Source organism: Homo sapiens, chromosome 2 (assembly GCF_000001405.40).
Source record: "Homo sapiens chromosome 2, GRCh38.p14 Primary Assembly".
Lineage (NCBI taxonomy): Eukaryota > Metazoa > Chordata > Mammalia > Primates > Hominidae > Homo > Homo sapiens.
The window spans coordinates 225577648-225596215 of record NC_000002.12 but is presented as its reverse complement, the minus strand read 5'-3'; the positions used below and the strand labels follow the sequence as shown (position 1 = coordinate 225596215).

Genomic DNA, 18568 nt, shown 5'->3' with positions numbered 1-18568 from the left:
GCATGGAAATAAACAGAAAAATCTTAACATGTTAGGCAAGAGTGTGGCCCCAGCTACTTGGGAGGCTGATGCAGGAGGATTGCTTGAGGCCAGAAGTTGGAGGCTGTAGTGCACTATGAACATGCCTGTGAATCACCACTGCACTCTAGCCTGGGCAACATAGCCAGAGCCCATCTCTCAAAAAAATATATGGAATTATTTACATAGAATAATCAACAATATCAGATGTTTCATGAAGGTTTAAAAGAATCAGGAGAGGAAAAATGCTAGAACCAGAGCCCAATTAGGAAGCCTCATGTAACTCTGGGGTGAGTAGAAGAGGAAGCCAGTTTGTGGGAAATTAAGGCTGGAATGAGGGAGAAGAAATGGAGGCAGCAAGTACAGCACATTCACTTAAGTGGATTGGCCATGGAAGCTAAATGGAGAACTATGGCTGGACATAGAATCAAGCTTCTGTTTTATGAAACATCAGTGGGCAATTTGATTATGGTTTATATTAAAGAGCCATACACACAGCTTGGTTCAGATGCCAAAATGAATTCTGCAGGCTACAAGTGAGATTATCAATTAGCCAAAGAAAAACAACTGTGAGGTAATCTGCTTTAATTTCTTAGGTTTAAAACTTCTCTTTGACCATTTCAACATTGACAAAAAGCTTTCATTTGTTTGACACATATCTCTTGTCATTAATTATTGGTAAGTGGTTAATAACTAATGGTCAAAAGAATGAAAGTTGTTTGTAGATATAGACACAATTTGGATGTCCAGAATGTGTAACTTAAATAGAGCAGTACTTTATTTCAGCTCTGATCATTCTGTTGCAGGCTACTAACAACTAAATCCTTTTTCATCCTTCTAGTTTTTGGGGATCTAGATTTCTTAGTTGTGACATGGGAACAAAAAGATGCATTAGAATTATCCACCCATAGCACTATGGTTGGATCTAACGTTGGACAACACATGAATACCCCAATCTCTATTTTATGACTGCTTCTAGCTATTGTTTTTTCATCCTTATTCTTTCTTATCTTTATTATATCAGTTCCATCTACGAAAAGAAAAGCAAAACATAGGAAAATTCTATTTTATTGAATATAACTGAAAGTTGAGTAGTAGAATATGTATAGAAAAGTTTTTCCTCCATTATCAATTATCAGAAGAATATTACGGACTTCTGCATTGGAATTTTTTCCTTTCAGTTCAGCTGTTCTGGGTTCTTTTCTAGCCAGCTACAGCTTTACACGCTGCTTTACAATCCATGTAACTAATACTCCTTACTTCCCTCTTAGATTCCTTAATATTTTTACTTCTTCCATTTGGAAATAGCAATAGCCCAGATTTTTCAGTTGATTGGTTATTCTGCTAGGAGTGGAACTTTTAATTAACCTAGCTCCCACCAGCAACAACAATAATGAGTTTGCTTCTACCAAGAAATACCATGCACCACTACAGACATTTAATTAAATTTGGGATTGTCATCCATTTACTGAATTCCAAAAAAAATTATTTTATCAAAAACTGAGAAAAGCTTTTCAAATATTTTATAACTAAAATCCATTTTTTCACCAGGGAACACACATATTCAAGACCGCGAGTCACATAATGATAGCTTTGTGGATTTATGCAATGTCTTTCCAACAAAGATGTTAAATGACCTATTTGAATGTTTTTATTTTATTTTATTATTTTTTTTTAGACAGAGTCTCACTGTGTCACCCAGGCTGGAGTGCAGTGGCACGATCTCGGCTCACTGTGACCTCTGCCCCCGGGTTTAAGTGATTCTCCTGCCTCAGCCTCCTGAGTACCTAGGATTGCAGGCACCCACCACCACACCCAACTAATTTTTGTATTTTTAGTAGAGACAGGGTTTCACCACGTTGGCCAGGCTGGTCTCAAACTCCTGACCTCAAGTGATATGCCCTCCTCAGCCTTCCAAAGTGCTGGGATTACAGGCATCAGCCACCGCACCCGGCCATTGAATGTGTTTTTATTGTCTTTACAATTTTTGATCAATAATGCATAAGTTAAGCAGATTGAAATTGCTTCTTTAAAATGTTATTTTCTTTTTTTGAAAAAGGTATCTTTCTTTCTACAAACATAGAAAAGAGATCAATTTTCACAGCTCATTCATTTGTACCGAAACCGATGATGATTTGACCTTACAAAATGGTCCAAATTTAAATGCTTGATGGGCATATTCTTTATATCTTTCCCTCCAATAAATCTGCCTGGAATGGAATGGCCATTCTTTCAAACATGCCACTTAAGAGTAGAAGCAATGATTCAGCATTCAGCATAGCTGCTTTTTTGCTGAATGACTATATTGATTTTAATGTGGAATATTCTAAGTCAAACATAGAAGCTGATTTTTGTTTTTTCACTTAATGGTCAAACATTTCTTATATGGCTTTTTTCCCTAAAGTTCAATAGCCTTCTTAAGTGTGCCTATTAATTCAACAAGTTCAATAAATACTTATCATGTACCAACTTGGGGAAAGATTGTATTGGATCAAGTATTACAAAAAGTAAAATGATGAAAAGGTTTGTAGCTTGTTTTCCCTGGTCCTTTGTTTCAATAGAGAGAATCAGATAGAAATAATCTTCACAATGCATTGGAATAAGTCTTACATCATTCAAAAATTTGAAAAAAAGTAGTCAAAGACAATAGCATAAGAAAAACACCATGGAGAAATTGGTAGACTGAGTTGGGAGTCAAGGATTAGGCTGACATTTTTTTCATTAAGTTTCTGGCGAAGTCCTTTCAGCAAGGGAGAACAACATCAGAAGGAAAGTCTCAGAAGGAGGAAGGGGGTCCTCCCTTTGGAGATTTACAGATCAGCCAGTAATCTGCAGAAGCCCCACACAAGAAGCCAAGCCAGAAGGGACTCAGTTTTAGCATCTAATATTTTCATTTGAAAAGTGAGAAAACTAAGACACTAAGAGGCAAACTGACTTATCTAAGGTCTCAAAGCTTGTTAATGGAAACCACCTCTTGTGACATCCAGCCTTGTGCTAGACTTCAAGATCATATTTAATTAGAATGTGGGACACACTGAGGGTAACATGATGTAGCCAGTAGGAACTCACTTATACTGAATATTTAATTACTTATTGTTCTCAAAGTGTCAAGAGTACATGATAGTCTCTAAAAAAACAGAAATTAAATGTTTATTTCAAGTAACAGAACAGGAGGGAAAAATCAGTTCTAGTATTTTTCATGTATATAAAATTAAATACTACTGAGGGAATCTTGGTTTAAATAAATAGACTGGTATAACTTAATTTCTGAATTGAAAATGTTTCTGCATTTTATACATCTAAAGCAGGTAGGGTTCTTCTTAATGGAGAGAATTGCTGATTAAATTGGTGACAAGAAATTGCACTTAAAGATTCAGCAGACAGAGAATATAAACACGGGGGATAAACACATCTGCCTGCATCAATCAAGGACAGCTGCGGTCTACCCCCAGAAAGGTGAGCAATTATTTATGAAATTATGTCTTCTTCAGTGATTCTATATTGCAATTCTAGGATAAACTAAATGAGAAAAACAGACAATGTCATGGTCCCAATTAACCAAGGAGTCACACGAATTTTCAAAATCAAGGAATTTTACTTATACTCTATTTAACCTCATCCTGAAAAAAAATCCCTTCACTTTAAAAACATAACAATAGGCCAGCTTGTTCTTGAAGAATTGTATTTTTAAAAAACTTTAAGGATGAGTGTCTGATTCTGTCAAGTACATAGTACCACAAATGTAAAGAGTAAAGAGGTGGTGCTAAGAAGCATAGGGCCCCTTGCGCTGCTTTGTCTGTTTTACCCCAGTCAGTTTTCAGATTAGTGCTGCTAGGGTGCTCATTGCTTTGGTGCATTGGCTGGGGTTTTTGATTAATCAACTATTTTTCCCCTTGGAGTAGCCATGGGCCAAACTACTGCATAGTTATTATGGCCAAGATGCAAGCACTGAAAACAAAAGCCCTGTATCCCAGGATGGTAGCTCAGTACTGCGTATCTGACAGGCCAAAGAAACCTGCACATACACCCTTAAGTTATGCTTAGAGGCATTGAGGTGAGTACCCATATCTTTTTAGCAAAGAAACCTGAACATACATCCTTAAGTTATGCTTAGAGGCACTAAGGTGAGCACTCACATCTTTTTGCTTAGGTCATTTAGGCGATTCTGAGGCCCACTGGGCAGCAGACCACATGCCTTCAGGGGCAGCTCAGAAACCTGGGGTACAGAGTTCCTTACAGTGACTGGGATATTCCAAAGTGAGTTTTGAAGGGTGCCCAAAAGATTTCCCACCCCCTTCCTAAATTGATGCCAATCATTAAGTAGTTCATGCCATTTGTCTACAAATTAGGCTTTCTTTCATTAAGCAGATATCCCTGAGAATAACGTCATGAGCCCTTAGACTTTTGATGAAAATTGGTGAATTTTGGAGAGATTGATCAAGTATAGATAAGGTATCATTAAATCGAAGAAACTCTAGAGCCAAATAATCGGGGTTCGAATCCCAGATTTACTCCCCATGTGACTGCGTGAGTTGTGCCTCAGTTTCTTCCATCTTTAAAACGGCAAGGTCAATATCACATGCCTCAGAGTACTGCTACAAGGACTGAATACTTGTAAATTTTTAGAAAGTTCTGGTACAGAGTAAATGGCATGAAGGTTAAGTATATGCCACTATTATTATGGAAGTGTTCTCGAGGAAGGGGCTGGGCACTGCTGCCTTCTTCCACATCCTTACCACTAGTTTCTTTGATGTTCCCACTCTAGGCTTAGTTGGTCTTGCTATTGTTCCTGAGACAAACCTGTTTGAGCCCAAGGCACTTTGTAAGAATCTTACTACCTTATTCCTCATTAGCATTATGAGCCCCAATTCCTCAGCTCCTTGGCCCAGTCATCAACGCTAGAGCCCCAGATTGCCAGTAATGCTCTCATTCCATCCTCCCAGTGCCCCATAAGAAAGACTTCCATTCTCTCCTATTGCCTGTGAGTTACACTGTTCTCTCTGCTCTCCCACACTGACTAGAGAGTGTCCTCTGAGATAGCACACCTTTGTTCTGAGTCACAGCTCCATCTGGAGGGCCCGCCATGCTCTGGCTAGTCCTCCCCCTCCAAAAGCCTGGACTCATCTGGATGGACTTCTGAGGTGAGGACTGCTGCCAGCCAGTCTTAGGTTTCTTCCTCGCCTTCTGGACCAGCAGCACCAGCTCCTGTCTGAAGCAGCTTTTATCAGTGGTTCTCAAACTCAGATATTGAGGAATTCTGATGAAGGAAGTGGCACACACTCGGCACAGCTAAGATGGAGATGCTAAGACAAGGATAGATGCGATTCACAGATCGCCCACCATGTATTCCATTCTTAAACTCTCAAGGCCTCTGGGAGAATCCACAGGTAGTGAAATTGTTATCTCTTTTGAATCTACGTTACCCTGATCTGTCCTCGTTGCAAGCTGCCACTAATCAGTAACTTAGTCAAGGAAAGGAAAACAACAGTCACTCATTTTGAGTTGTCTGTTTTACTTTCTCCTGTCTCTCTTCCTTTGCTTACATAAATTATCTTTTAACCTTGTTAGATGAAAGCAATAGTTTCTTGAATACAAGTCAATGGTGATGCTCACATTTAACCATATGTCCCCAAGTTATTGTTTGACTGAAGGCATAAATATCACCAGGGATTATCATTAAACAGTCAACATCCCAGGCCTAACCCCTAAAGTTTCTCATTAAATAGGTCTATAATAAAGCCCAGCAATCTGTATTTTTAACAACATCCAGGTGAATATGATGCAGGCATTTGGACCACTCACCTAAGCTTTCTACCTCTTGCCTACCATGCTTTGAACTACACGAGAAACTTCTCTGGAGGCTGAGCGCATCCCCAAGGTCACATCCTGGGAGAATCATCATTATACAGGTCCTGGCTTGATTTCCCTCCTGAGCTGCTGGAAGGACCCTTGCTAAGGCAGAAGCCAGTCTGAGGCCACAGGAGGTCACTGTGTGGGACTCTCGGCAGAGGAGCAACCAACAAACAGCAGGACAGGAGACCCGAAAAGGGGTTAACCTTTATTTGAGATGTTTAAGAAAATTAACAGGTCTGGATCCTGCCAGAACTTTTGGAATCTTCCTCATGGTATCCTCTGAGGTGGCTTCAGGTATCTGGGTATAGCTCAACTCCTAAATACCTTTGTATTCCAGAGTACAAGAGGTTCCGAATCCAGCCCCTAACTCCGGTCAGGTTGCTCCAAGTTACCGTACATCCAGGAGTCCTGCCCAAAGTCAACATGCCTGCATGTGGGCAGTCACAGGCTGAGGATTCTCTCATTCTCTATTGCAAAGGAGAGATCCAAGACTATAGACTCCCTCCTCCAACCTTCCCTTTGGTTTTTCAATACCTGTTTTGTCCTACTCTTTGTCAGCACCTGCTTAAACAGAGGGAATATAAAGTCCTTAACTATTTCACCTGCAAAGTTTTAATGAAAACGAAATGTAATTTATTTTCCTATTTTTTAAGACAGGGTCTTGCTCTGTTACCCAGTCTGGAGAGCAATGGTGTGATTATAGTTCGCTGCAAACTCAAACTCCCAGACTCAACTGATCCTCCTGCTTTAGCCTCCCAAGGACCTAGGACCGCAGGCATGTGACACCACACCCAGCTATTAAATATATATATATATATATATATATATTTTACTTTTAGTAGAGATATAGTCTTAGTATGTTGCCCAGGCTGTTCATGATATCCTGACCTCAAGCAATCCTCCCACCTTGGCCTCCCAAAGTGTTGGGATTACAGGAGTGAGCCACCACATCCAACCTCAAAATGTATATTAAATAGGCCAAACAAAATGTGTGGATTCTCCTAAAAAAAAAAAAACTAACATTTATTCCATGTTTTCCAGGATTTCTTATTTTTTTGGGAAGTTGATGTTCCTAACCTCTCAGATACAAATCCAGAACTCTAGGCAAGACCTAGTTGGTGGATAAAGTGGCCTTTGGAAGTACAAGTCACACAGTCTCTATGTTGCAGGTCACATACTTTAATTAGTTGAGAGGCTGCTTCTCAGACAAGTTTGGGTATCTGGTTTCTTGGTCCACAACTGATTTTTGATTTGATATTACAATTAGGAAAAGAGTGAAAAGAGAAGAGGAGAGGCAGAGATGGTGGGAGAAGCTAGATGCATCAATAAAACTATCTGAAAGAAAGGGAGAAGGTAGGAAAACCACAGGAAACAGAAATAAGAATTTAAGTGAATTTAAATGATATAATAGTAGATGGCACTTCAGGTCTACAATCTCAAATAGACCCTGAAGACATCTCAGCAGAATAATAAGCTATCAATACTGTGTCACTGCTATTACGGATGACCAGAAACAATGATACCACCTTTGTGTGAGGCCTCCCCTGTTCGGGTCAACTTGCTCAACATTTTGCATTAGCCTGTGGCAGGCATACAGTGACTATCACAACAATGACCCTGAGTTACCAAGACAGCCAGCGTACATTAGTAGACCCTTCTTTTTTTCTTACAAATGGAACAGCATATAAAAGTAGAAATATATTTAAAAATACTTTTTCCAAAATAATTCTGTTAATTTACACAGTTTAAAAATAAACTTCAGAATTTTTTATTTACAAATTCTTTAAAAATTAAATTAGTAAGAGTTAGTTGGAGCAGCTCCTTCATAGTCAACGCTTGATGTTTTAGGTATCACTGGACCTCACACAGCACAAAAAAGGAGAGAGGTATGTGGGCCTGTATGTCCATGTGAGGCAGGGGTTAGGTGTTTTTCAGTTTTTGTGGGTTTGTTTTGTGTGTTTGGAGCTGTGGTTTCTATGTGGATTTTTTTTTTTCTAAGAAGGTCAATGAAAAGGCAAAGATGATATCTGATTTCTAATTCTATTTCATCAGATCTACAAGACTCATTTATATCTATAATTTTAAAAATATACTATGACATCTAAAAGAATTAAATACTGGCTGGGTGCAGTGGCTCACACCTATAATCCCAGCACTTTGGGAAGCCGAGGCAGGCAGATAACCTGAGGTCAGGAGTTCGAGATCAGCCTGGCCAACATGGTGAAACGCCATCTCTACTAAAAATATGAAATATTAGCCAGGTGTGGTGGTGCATGCCTTAAATCCCAGCTACTCGGGAGACTGAGGCAGGAGAATTTCTTGAACCTGGGAGGCAGAGGTTGCAGTGAGCTGAGATTGCACCACTGCACTCCAGCATGGGCTGCAGAGCAAGAATCCGCCTAAAAAAAAAAGTATTTACTACTTTTTAAAGGCTAAAAGATGAGGTTTAATAGGAAAAACTTACGAATCTCCAATAATGTAGAATACGGTTGAGTATGATATAGCTTTTTTTTTTTGTAATGCCAAGACATCATTTCTCTTTTAATAATAATGACAGGAGTTGAGTGGGTCTGCACCTTCATTTTCATCCCTGCTTCTGGAGCTCCACCATGCCCCATGCCTTCTGCCCTGTTCTACCTGTCTCTTTCTGAAAGGAGCAACCTGATGAGAGTTAGGGGCTAGATTTGGAAGCTCTTGCACTGTGGAATTCTTCAAAGGTATTTAGGAGTTGAGCTACACCCAAAGACCTGAAGACACCTCAGAGGATACCATGAGGAAGATTCCAAAAGTTCTGGCAGGATCAAGTCCTGTTAGCATTCTTAAACATCTCCAGTAAAGACTAATCCCTTTCTGTGCGCCTCTCTTCTTGGTGCCCAAATCTGTTCACATGCCCTTCTGCCCCGGGCGTGCATGTCTTTTGTATCTTAGTGCCTTAGTTTATTCCTTAGTCTCTTCCTTTGCTGCTTCATCTTCTACTTTTTCTTTACATTTTTAATTTACATTTCTCCATTTATAACATCTCTATCTCACTCTTTCCCTCAGATTGTAAATTTTAATTATGTTCTTCAGTAGATCTTGTACTTTTTCATAGAAATGTACATTTGCTCATCTATGTTGAATACAGGCTGATATGGTTTGGCTCTGTGTCCCCCACCAAATCTCATCTCAAATTGTTATCCCCATAATCCACACGTGTTAAGGGAGGGGCCAGGTGGGAGGTGATTGAATCATGGGGGTGGTTTTCCCCATGCTGTTCTTGTGATAGTGAGTTCTCACAAGATCTAATTGTTTTATAAGACAATCTTCCCTGCTCTTGCGAGCTCTCTCTTTCCTGCCACCATGTGAAAAAGGTCTTTGCTTCCCCTCCGCCTTCCATCATGATTGTAAGTTTTCTGAGGCCTCCCCAGCCATGTGGAACTGTGAGTCAATTAAACTTTTCTTTATAAATCATCCAATCTCGAGTAGTTCTTTGTAGCAGAGTGAAAATGGACTGATATGAGGGTTAAACATTTCTTTTAAAAAATATTTCTTGTTTGAGGGAATAAATAAAGTTTTCTACTTTTAAAATTTGGTTTGGTTATTAATTTCTATGATTCATGGCACCTGATTTATTAAAATGAAATGGCCCATTTGTGACCTACATCTTCTAAAAAATCAAATCAAAATCATAATGAATATATCAAAAAATGCAAAAGAAAGATGAAAATGATAGGTAGTAAATTATTTTCATTTAAGTCTCCAAAGTTCATCACAAAAATATTTGTACCTGACCTGCTTACCATTTACACAAAAATTTTTAGCAATAGCATATGAGTTGATCACTTCTTACATGCCTCATGTCATTCACCTCTCTGCACAAAATTTTTAAAAAATATTAATAATGACCAACTAAAAAAAGTACTAGAGCTACAGACTATCAGGTGTCCTAATTTAATCATAGATAAACATAACAATGTCCCATCAACCAGGAAAAAACACTTCCTATAACAATGAATGTGAAGGCCATATTTTCAAAATTGTGAAACAAAATGAAATTTAATTATAATCTACCTCTTTTGTCTTATTTTATTTCTTCTCTATTGACCAATCCCCATCAACAATTATAAACCTTTAAAACATGAAATTGATACATTTGGTGTGCATTTTACAGATTATTAAAAATGAGTTTAAGGTATACATTTTATTTGACATCGTTTTCCTTAATTAAAACAAAGACTATATTTGTTGAGATTAAATATTAGTAAATACTTAAAATTGACTTCTCCACTAAACCAACAGAGGCTTGGAAAATAGAGATATCAGTTTTGCTTTTATTCCTGAAATGTAGAAAATTCCTGAAACTTAAAAAGAATAATGAGACTCAGGGTCATAAATGTTATACTACTTCATATCACTTATTCTGTCCCTAAGGTATCAACAGGTCCACAAAACCTGTCTGGGAAGAGTAAAGGGGAGAATTGTATCCATGAGTGTACTGCAACAGAAATTACTAGTTAATTCCCAATTAACAATTTTGGTTCTATGTTTTGCATTATGAAAAGATTCTGAGAGACCTTTTGATTTTGTGAGCAACTAATGGTGTCTTTCTACTTTCCTCGAGAGTCAAAAATAAACAGCAATTTGATTTGTCCATTTGATTTTTTGATTATTCATTTGTATTACCTGCATTTTTCCTCCCTTCCATTTACGTAAAGTAAAATATTGAGGTTAATGTAACTCAGAGGCATGCCCTTTCTCTGCAGAGTTGATGCATGGTTAATAGCACATGTGAAATAATTCAATCCTTGGCTCCCTAAAAGCTATAAAGAGCCTTGACCACTCTTCCATGTACAAGCTTTGTTTTAGAAGTACACAAAGCTTGTTTTTGGAGTCGGATGAGAAAGTCTGTGACATATACACGTAGACTGATTCTAACAGATGGATTTTTCTTGAAATAGCTTCATTAGTTAATCATTTCTTTTACATATACTTTTTTTTTCTAGTTAATTGGCATAGCTGCCAGCTGGAGCTGTTAAGGATCCTCCAAAGAAGCTGATAGGTAGGGAGGAAATCCCATTGTCTCACCAATTCTAAGATGAAACTTCCATTAATTTCACAATACCCATTATGTATTTTTAAATAAAATGTTTAAAAAATATTTTCTCTTATTCTAAATACCTTATTTGATCTGTGTGAAAACCAAATCAATCAATGAATTATCTGGAAGAAACTTTAAACTTTAGTAAATTATCTAGACCAGGGTTTTCCAGCCTTGGCACTATTGACATTGTAGACCAGATCATTCTTTGTGTCTGTGTGGGATCAGGTGGCAGTCTTGTGCATTACATGCTGTTAAGCAGCATCTCTGGCTTTTACCCAATAGATGTCAGTAACACCCCCTGTAGTAACAACCAATAACATCTCTAGATATTGCCAAATATCCCAGGGGACAAATTGCCCTAGTTGACAACTGCTCTAGAAATAGATTGTTCCTAGTTTTAAATTCAATTCTTAAAATAATTTTATGTATGTATGTACATATGCAAGCATATAACTCCAGACATGCCTAATATATTAGAAATGTCTGCCTTTCACTTAGGTAATTAAAATGTTTTGGGGGCAATTATTGAAGTAGCTAACATTTTCATAAGTCTCTGGGTAAAGGGAAAAAAAGAATTAGTGGCTTGTAACTACCAAGGAATATTAGTTATCTAAAAAATGCCATTGTCATTTTCATCATCAAAAGTATTGAGAGTTTCTTTTCCTTTAAGGAAAGTTCTCAGTATGAGTGTATGAATAGATAAATAAAAAATCACATGGAGGGATTACTTGAGATGTAAGTGATTAATTATCAGCTTAGGTGCCTACGGCATTTTTAAATAAGAGAAAGAAATGTAATTTAATGAAATGGACATAGAAAAAACTAATCTGGGTCTGTTTTGACTTTACTATATACTTGTGAATTGATTTAATACTCATAAAGGTGTTAGTCATTCAGATAGATAAATTTCCTGGTCTTTGAAATTCAGTAGTAAAAGTAATGTTCACCACCTTAGTGACTTTTCTGTAAGTTATATATTGATGGATCTAGGAAGAGTATCATAGAAATAAGATGTAAAATCACCATGGCTTTTAAAAGGAAAATAATGGGTCTATGTTCATTTATAGTAATGGTAAAAATACAAGAACATGAAGTATACAGACAGAATCATTTTGTATGTCAAAGAAGATTCTAAGTTCTAATCAAACTGCTTTCTTTCCAACACAGGTTTTCTAATGGGAATTTGCTCAAGAAGGTTTTTTTTTTGTTTGTTTTTTGTTTTTGAGACAGAGTCTTGCTCTATCGCCCAGGCTGGAGAGCAGTGGCATGATCTGGGCTCACTACAAGCTCTGCCTCCCGGGTTCGCGCCATTCTCCTGCCTCAGCCTCCCGCGTAGCTGGGACTAAAGGTGCCCGCCACCACACCCGGCTAATTTTCTTTGTATTTTTAGTAGAGATGGGGTTTCACAGTGTTAACCAGGATGGTCTTGATCGCCTGGCCTCGTGATCTGACCGCCTCGGCCTCCCAAAGTGCTGGGATTACAGGCGCGAGCCACCATGCCTGGCCTCAAGAAGTGTTTTAATATAAGATGAAGGCAAGTTTTAACATTTATCAATTGCATGTTTGAATGTTTAATTCCGCCCCCCACCTCCCTGCCCCCAAAACAAGGTATTTACCTAAAAATTCCATAGTGGTCTCTGTTTTCACTGTTTGACTTTCCAGGGCCATTGTAAGAACTTAGATTTTGTACTTTTTTTTAAACACTCTTCTTTTAAATAGGAATATAACATTTCCTATTTAAAAATGTTATATTGTGCAGATTGTCATTTTTAATTCTTTCAGCTTACATTCAAGATACACTATTTGGCTTAGTGTGGCAAAAGTGAATTAACACATTTTGCACGTTAAGATTGCAACTCAAAGGCCCCAAGACCACGTACTCCGTGCGTTATCTGCACATACCTAAAATTCCATAGTGGTCCCTATTTTCACTGTTCAACTTTCCAGGACCATTGCAAGAATTTAGATTTTATACCTTATTTTTCAAAATCACTCTTCTTTTAAATAGGAAATAGTATATTTTGCAGACTGCCATTTTTAATACTTTCAGGATACACTATTTGGTTTAGCATGGCAAAAATGAACTAACACATTTTGTTTGCATGCTAAGATTTCAACTCCAAGGCCTCAAGACCCCGTACTCTGTGCGTTATCTGCACACAATGGGCTTCACCCTGGTTGTAAGCCTGGCACTGGGCTCTGGGGCTCAGGCAGGCCCTGCACACTTACTCTCTGCAGGCTCTTTGGAGCGCCGGCCACTGGACGACTTGCGCAGCAGGCTGCGGCCGGAGGAGAAGAGGCTGGTCAGCTCCTCCAGCGGGCTCGTGGGTGTCCGGGACCGGGAGCCACCCGGGGCTGCCCCGTAGGTGTTCACCGCGGCGTTGACCATCTTGGCCCCATCTTGCGACACGGGTCTGGGGGTCGAGTGAGGCACTGAAGGAGAGCTCCTTGAGAGGCTGCCCGAATGCACAGCGTCGTAAGGGGGAGGCCTTTTGAGGCTCAGGGGAGTCAGGGACCTCCCCATGCTGACGGGGGAGGGAGAGGTGGAGTGACTTTTAGGGTAGCCATGGGGAGACTGGGTTCGGTACAGCGTAGACGGGGGTGGGGGCGACGAGGAGAGCGCAGGGGTGGCAGAGGCAGGTCCCAGGGCCGCGGCCTGCTCTTTCTCCAGTTTCGCATGGCCGGGGACGTGGGACGGCAGCGTGGAGGGCGACGCCCCGGCTGGCTGTTTCATGTAAGACACGTTTTCCAGCACGGGAAGCTTCGTGACCTCCAGAGGGGTAAGCGGGGACTCGTCGGAGTTGGGGGAGCAATGCACGGGGGCGGGGGGAAATACCAGCAGCGGGGGTCTGTGAGAAAGCAGGTTGGGGAAGGGCGGAGGGATGTCGCAAAGCAGCCCCTTGGGGGGGCATGGCACTGAGGCCTTGGCGAAGTCCAAGTCAGGCACCGTGGGAGTAGCACACTGCGAAGAACAGCTGTGATGGTCGAAGTCACATTTGGCGTCTTGGCCCAAGTCGTCAAAGATAGGGTACTTCATTTCCTCGTAGACGGCCTCGCTCTGGTCATCGTCCTCCTTCCTGAAGTCTCTGAGAATGTTCCCCACCATCTCGATGTACACGGGCTCCTCTTCCTCGGGGTCTCCCGCGGGGCTGCCCATCTGGGACAAGGAGGAGTCCCGCGGCAGCGACGTCCTCCGGGGCCCATGCTTTTTGATGTACGTTTCATCGAAAGATGTGCTCAGCTGAGTGTTCGGATTTCGCTTCGGTTTGGGAGGAGGAATCTTCTTGGAATATTCATCGCTGTGGGGTCTTGGTTTAGCTGACGCTAAAAGAAGAAAAAACGTAGTGGAATAGATGAGTATAATAGGAAAGTTTTCAAAAATGATTTGCATGTGGGTTTACTACAATAAACTTTAGGCCAGAGGGGTAGACAGCTTCATTCTTAGTTTGAGTTTCAGAGTAAAAATCAACCAAAGAGTCAAGCATTCCCTTATTTAGAAAACCTGATGGCAGAATAATAGTCATCTTTAAACTGATATTAATAATCTAACACTGATAAATGCATTAAAACCAGGACTGTTCACCCCTTTCCTTTAGAATGCCTAAGGAGAAGCTTTCAGATGAAACATACTGGATAAAATACTCATAAATTTTGTGAAAATTAACCTGCATGAATTGAGAAAGAAATGCAGGAGGAAAAAAAACCTAAAGTCTCTGTTAGCACTATTGGTCAAAAATACCATACAGATTGCACTGTTTTACTGATGTGGTTTTTATAGGTGAACACATCTTGCTTGCATTTAGGATAAAAATTTCTCAGCCTGCTAGACTTAAAATCTGTCTTGGTTCAAATAAATAGCTTCCATACAGATGGGTCTGATATTTCAGGGGAAATTGATGTGAAAATCTTATGAGGCTAGACAAGTTAATCTTTAAATCTCCAGGTATTGTTGATTATGGTGTATTTGTCTGTTTTTGTTCTTAAGATCTCTTATGATATTCCAAATGCTGTCTCAGAATGAATTTATTAGATATGTTCCACTGACACATCAGAATGCCCTCAAGAGTGTTAAAAGAGAATAACTCAGGGAATGATGTGTAAGTTTCAAGAATAACTTCTGGAAACTCACAACAGATATGTGTACCAACGTATTGCACAGCCTGCTGGAAGACCCTTTATTGACAGAACATAAACTTCTGACATCATACAATAGCACGGAAGAGGCTGGCAAATGCCTGTGACTAAATTCAGTTGTTTAGCATGCAAGGAAGGTACTTGAGTCTTGTTATTATCTCATTATCTCATTGTGTTGATATATGATTACAGTGATCATCTTTATTATGCAATGTAGCAGAATGTGGTTGCTTACAGAAGATAGTAGCATATAGTGAGTTGACAGTACAACTTAGAGTTGTAAGACTGTGAGGAGCTAACAAGCTAAAGAGAAGGGTCTCAAGGCACAAATCGGGAAACACCTGAGTCTTCCTTTTTTTTTTTTAACTGGCCTAATTTATATACAAGAGTTTTACTAAAACATGGTAAAGGAGCTGAAAGTGCTTAAGGATAAGCTAGATGGCTGTTCCATCCATCAACTGAGACTTCAGCAACAGGGAACCAATCAAATATTCTAGCAGTGACTATGTATTTCACCTTTCTAGATCACCCCTGTTTCAAATATTTTGTTCCAATGTGCCTATGATGATGGTTTTACTCACTACAATCAAACAGCTTTTTGAGGGGAAGGTTCATAATCTGTGTAGAATTTCCATTAACCCATACTGGGTAGAACTAGATGTTATTTTCCAGGGGGAGGCTGTAGCAGTAAAGTCTTTTAATGCCCAAAGTGAAAAGCCTAGAGACAAAATGGGGTGAAAACTATGCAGTCAATCTTTTTAGGAGGGACCTAAAGCAACCAATAATTGTACCACCTAACTTGGCATATATTTTACTGGTTTTGAAATCTGAGTACATTAATTTTCATATAATTTTAGTAAGTCATCAGATTATATACAAAAGTCTGAGCCCCAATAATGTAAAACTGTAAATCAGTGAACAAGGTTGACAAAGTTTTGGTCAGGACTTGGAAGAACCAAAGCTCATCCAGACTATTCTTCTGGAACTTGTTTCCTGCCACCCTCAACAGCAAGAAATGACTGTAGACCAAGTGCAGGCTCTGGGAAACTATTTTCTACAAATATTGAGTTATAGGAATTGAATGGACTGGGGTTGAGGGAATTCTTTGAGGGCAGAGGACTGAAGAGAGAGATGCTCTATGAAGGGAGGGTTAACCTAAGGCTAGAAATTAGTGTGTGTCCCTGAGATGGGTAATTTCATCATACAGAAATAATCATATTTAGAATTATATTTTCATTTTCACCCTCTTAAATTATAATTTGCTTTCATTATCTTTGACCCTTCACTAAAGTCTGATACTCCAACATAGATTATGGAGAGAAATAACAGGGTAAGAACTTAAGCATCTGCTGAGCCTATGCCTAGGTAGCAGCACTGCATTTATGGGAGGCTACAGTGTGGGATTCTCAGGTAGTGAGGCTTTCAGTGGCAGATCTGGGCATGGCACGGCATTCAGAGAAGCAACGGTTGATGAACAACACTGGTGACAACTTCTCTCTTTCCCACACAGATGAGAAGGTGGCCTTTGGAATGGAAGAGAGCTATGTCTGGATTTACTCCAATTGTGAGCAAATGCCATTTCGTTTGCCAAAAGAAACAGAAAAAATGAAATAAAGCCCCTCTATATCTAGGAAATGATTTAAGAAACAGAAGTTTCTATTGCAGAGTGCAGCATACTTAGAATTAAGTAGAACAACTGCTAATTGAGAAGGAATCTGGACAATCCATTTACAAACAATTTCAATGACAAACCAAGTATAGATGTTGTATGACACGGGAAACAAAATATAACATATGGCTCTTATGGTGCCTGTGAGATTATCAGAGTTGACAGTTGCTATTGACTGAATTGGGTCCCCATTCTTCCACAAAAAAATTCATCTGTTGAAGCCCTAACTTCCAAAGTGATGGTATCTGGAGATAGATCCTTTGGGAGATAATTAGGCTTGGATGAGGTCATGAGGGTAGGACCCTCATGATGTGATTGATTATAAGAAGAGACAGCAGAGTTCTCTCTCTCTCTCTCTCTCTCTCTCCCCTCTCTTCTCTCTGTCTCTTCATGTCTCTGTGTGTGTGTGCACGCGCGTGTGTGTGCGTGCACGTGCATGCCGTATGAGAACAGAGAGAAAGCATCAGTCTAATCAGTCTACAAGCCAAGTAGAGAGCCCTCATCAGAAACCGACCATGCTACTATCTTGATTTTGAATGTTTAGCCCCAAGAATTGTGAGAAAATTTCTCTAATTTAAACCACTCTCTAATTTTCTTACAGCAAAATGAGCTTAGCTACCTAAGACAACATTATATTTATTAAGTCCTAATGTAAAAGACCTTTACAGATGAACGATGAACATTTTAATGTCATCCTCTGGCACTGGAAAACATTAACTAACTTTGTTATTTTACAATTAAACAACTCTTTCCAAGCCGCTTAAGTTTCTCCTGCTCCCTGTCCCTTATCTCCTTAACTTTTACAACTATGTCACAGAGAGCACATTCTGGCTACATCTGGCGATGCTTATCCCATACATGGGCCAAGAGCACCCTTCCACCACATGGCTTGTCCTGCTTACTCTTCTTGATCTGACTCTCCAGTTTCTAATTTGTGGAAGGCGCTTACTACTTAAATCTGACCCATTTTCTGGATGTTTGCTGTTTGTTGTTTGTTTTGATACACTTACTCCCTGCATCACACTGCTCTGCTTGTTCAGCCCACAAGCTGAAGTTAGTCTCTAGCCTGCCTTGCCCAGGGAATCCCTCTTTATCTAGGCAAGCTTCTTCCCTCTTCCCTTCCCTGCTTGGTGAAGAGAGCCTAATGCAGGCAGATTCATAAAGTTCAAGCAATTTCCCCTCCAGTCCTTTTTCTTATTATTGATCCAACTTTAAAATGAAGGTGTGAGTGTGGGGTGCAATGGCTCACACCTGTAATCCTAGCACCTTGGGAGGCGGAGGCAGGTGGATTACTTGAGGTCAGGAGTTCGAGACCAGCCTGGCCAACATGGTGAAACCCCATCTCTACTAAAAATACAAAAATTAGCCAGGCGTGGTGATGCATACTTATAATCCCTAGTATCTCAAGAGGCTGAGGCAGGAGAATAGCTTGAACCCAGGAGGCAGAAGTTGCAGTGACCCAAGATGGCACCACTGTACTCCAGCCTGGGTGACAGAGCAAGACTGTCTCAAAATATAATAAATTAAATTAAATGAGGGTGTGAGGATGTTTAGAGAATAGACTCTTCAGTAAATTATAGATGATCAGGATGAATTAACAGATTCATTCTTTCAATATGGGGGCAGGGGCTTCTTTTTTTAAAAAAAAAAAAAAATCTGCTTTTCATTCCCTGACATCCGTCCTTGTAATCTCATGGTTCTTCGAGGTAAATCAGAGGTTCTTTGAGGTAAATCATGGTTCTTTGAGGTAAGTCAGAGGAGGAAACAAATTTGTTTCCAATAAACTAATTTTTCTTTTCATTTTCCATGAATCA

The 18568-nt window shown here is 39.6% G+C and overlaps 1 protein-coding gene across 4 annotated transcripts in view; it reads right to left on the bottom strand.

Annotated features, from left to right (window-relative positions):
- NYAP2 (neuronal tyrosine-phosphorylated phosphoinositide-3-kinase adaptor 2) overlaps positions 1-18568 on the bottom strand; it is a 305716-nt gene that overhangs the window by 107439 nt on the left and 179709 nt on the right. For all 4 annotated transcript variants that reach the window (XM_047445201.1, NM_001371273.1, XM_047445200.1 and 1 more), the window contains one exon: positions 13181-14275. In XM_047445201.1, the coding sequence (XP_047301157.1) occupies positions 13181-14275 (1095 nt within the window). The remainder of the gene's footprint in view (positions 1-13180; positions 14276-18568) is intronic.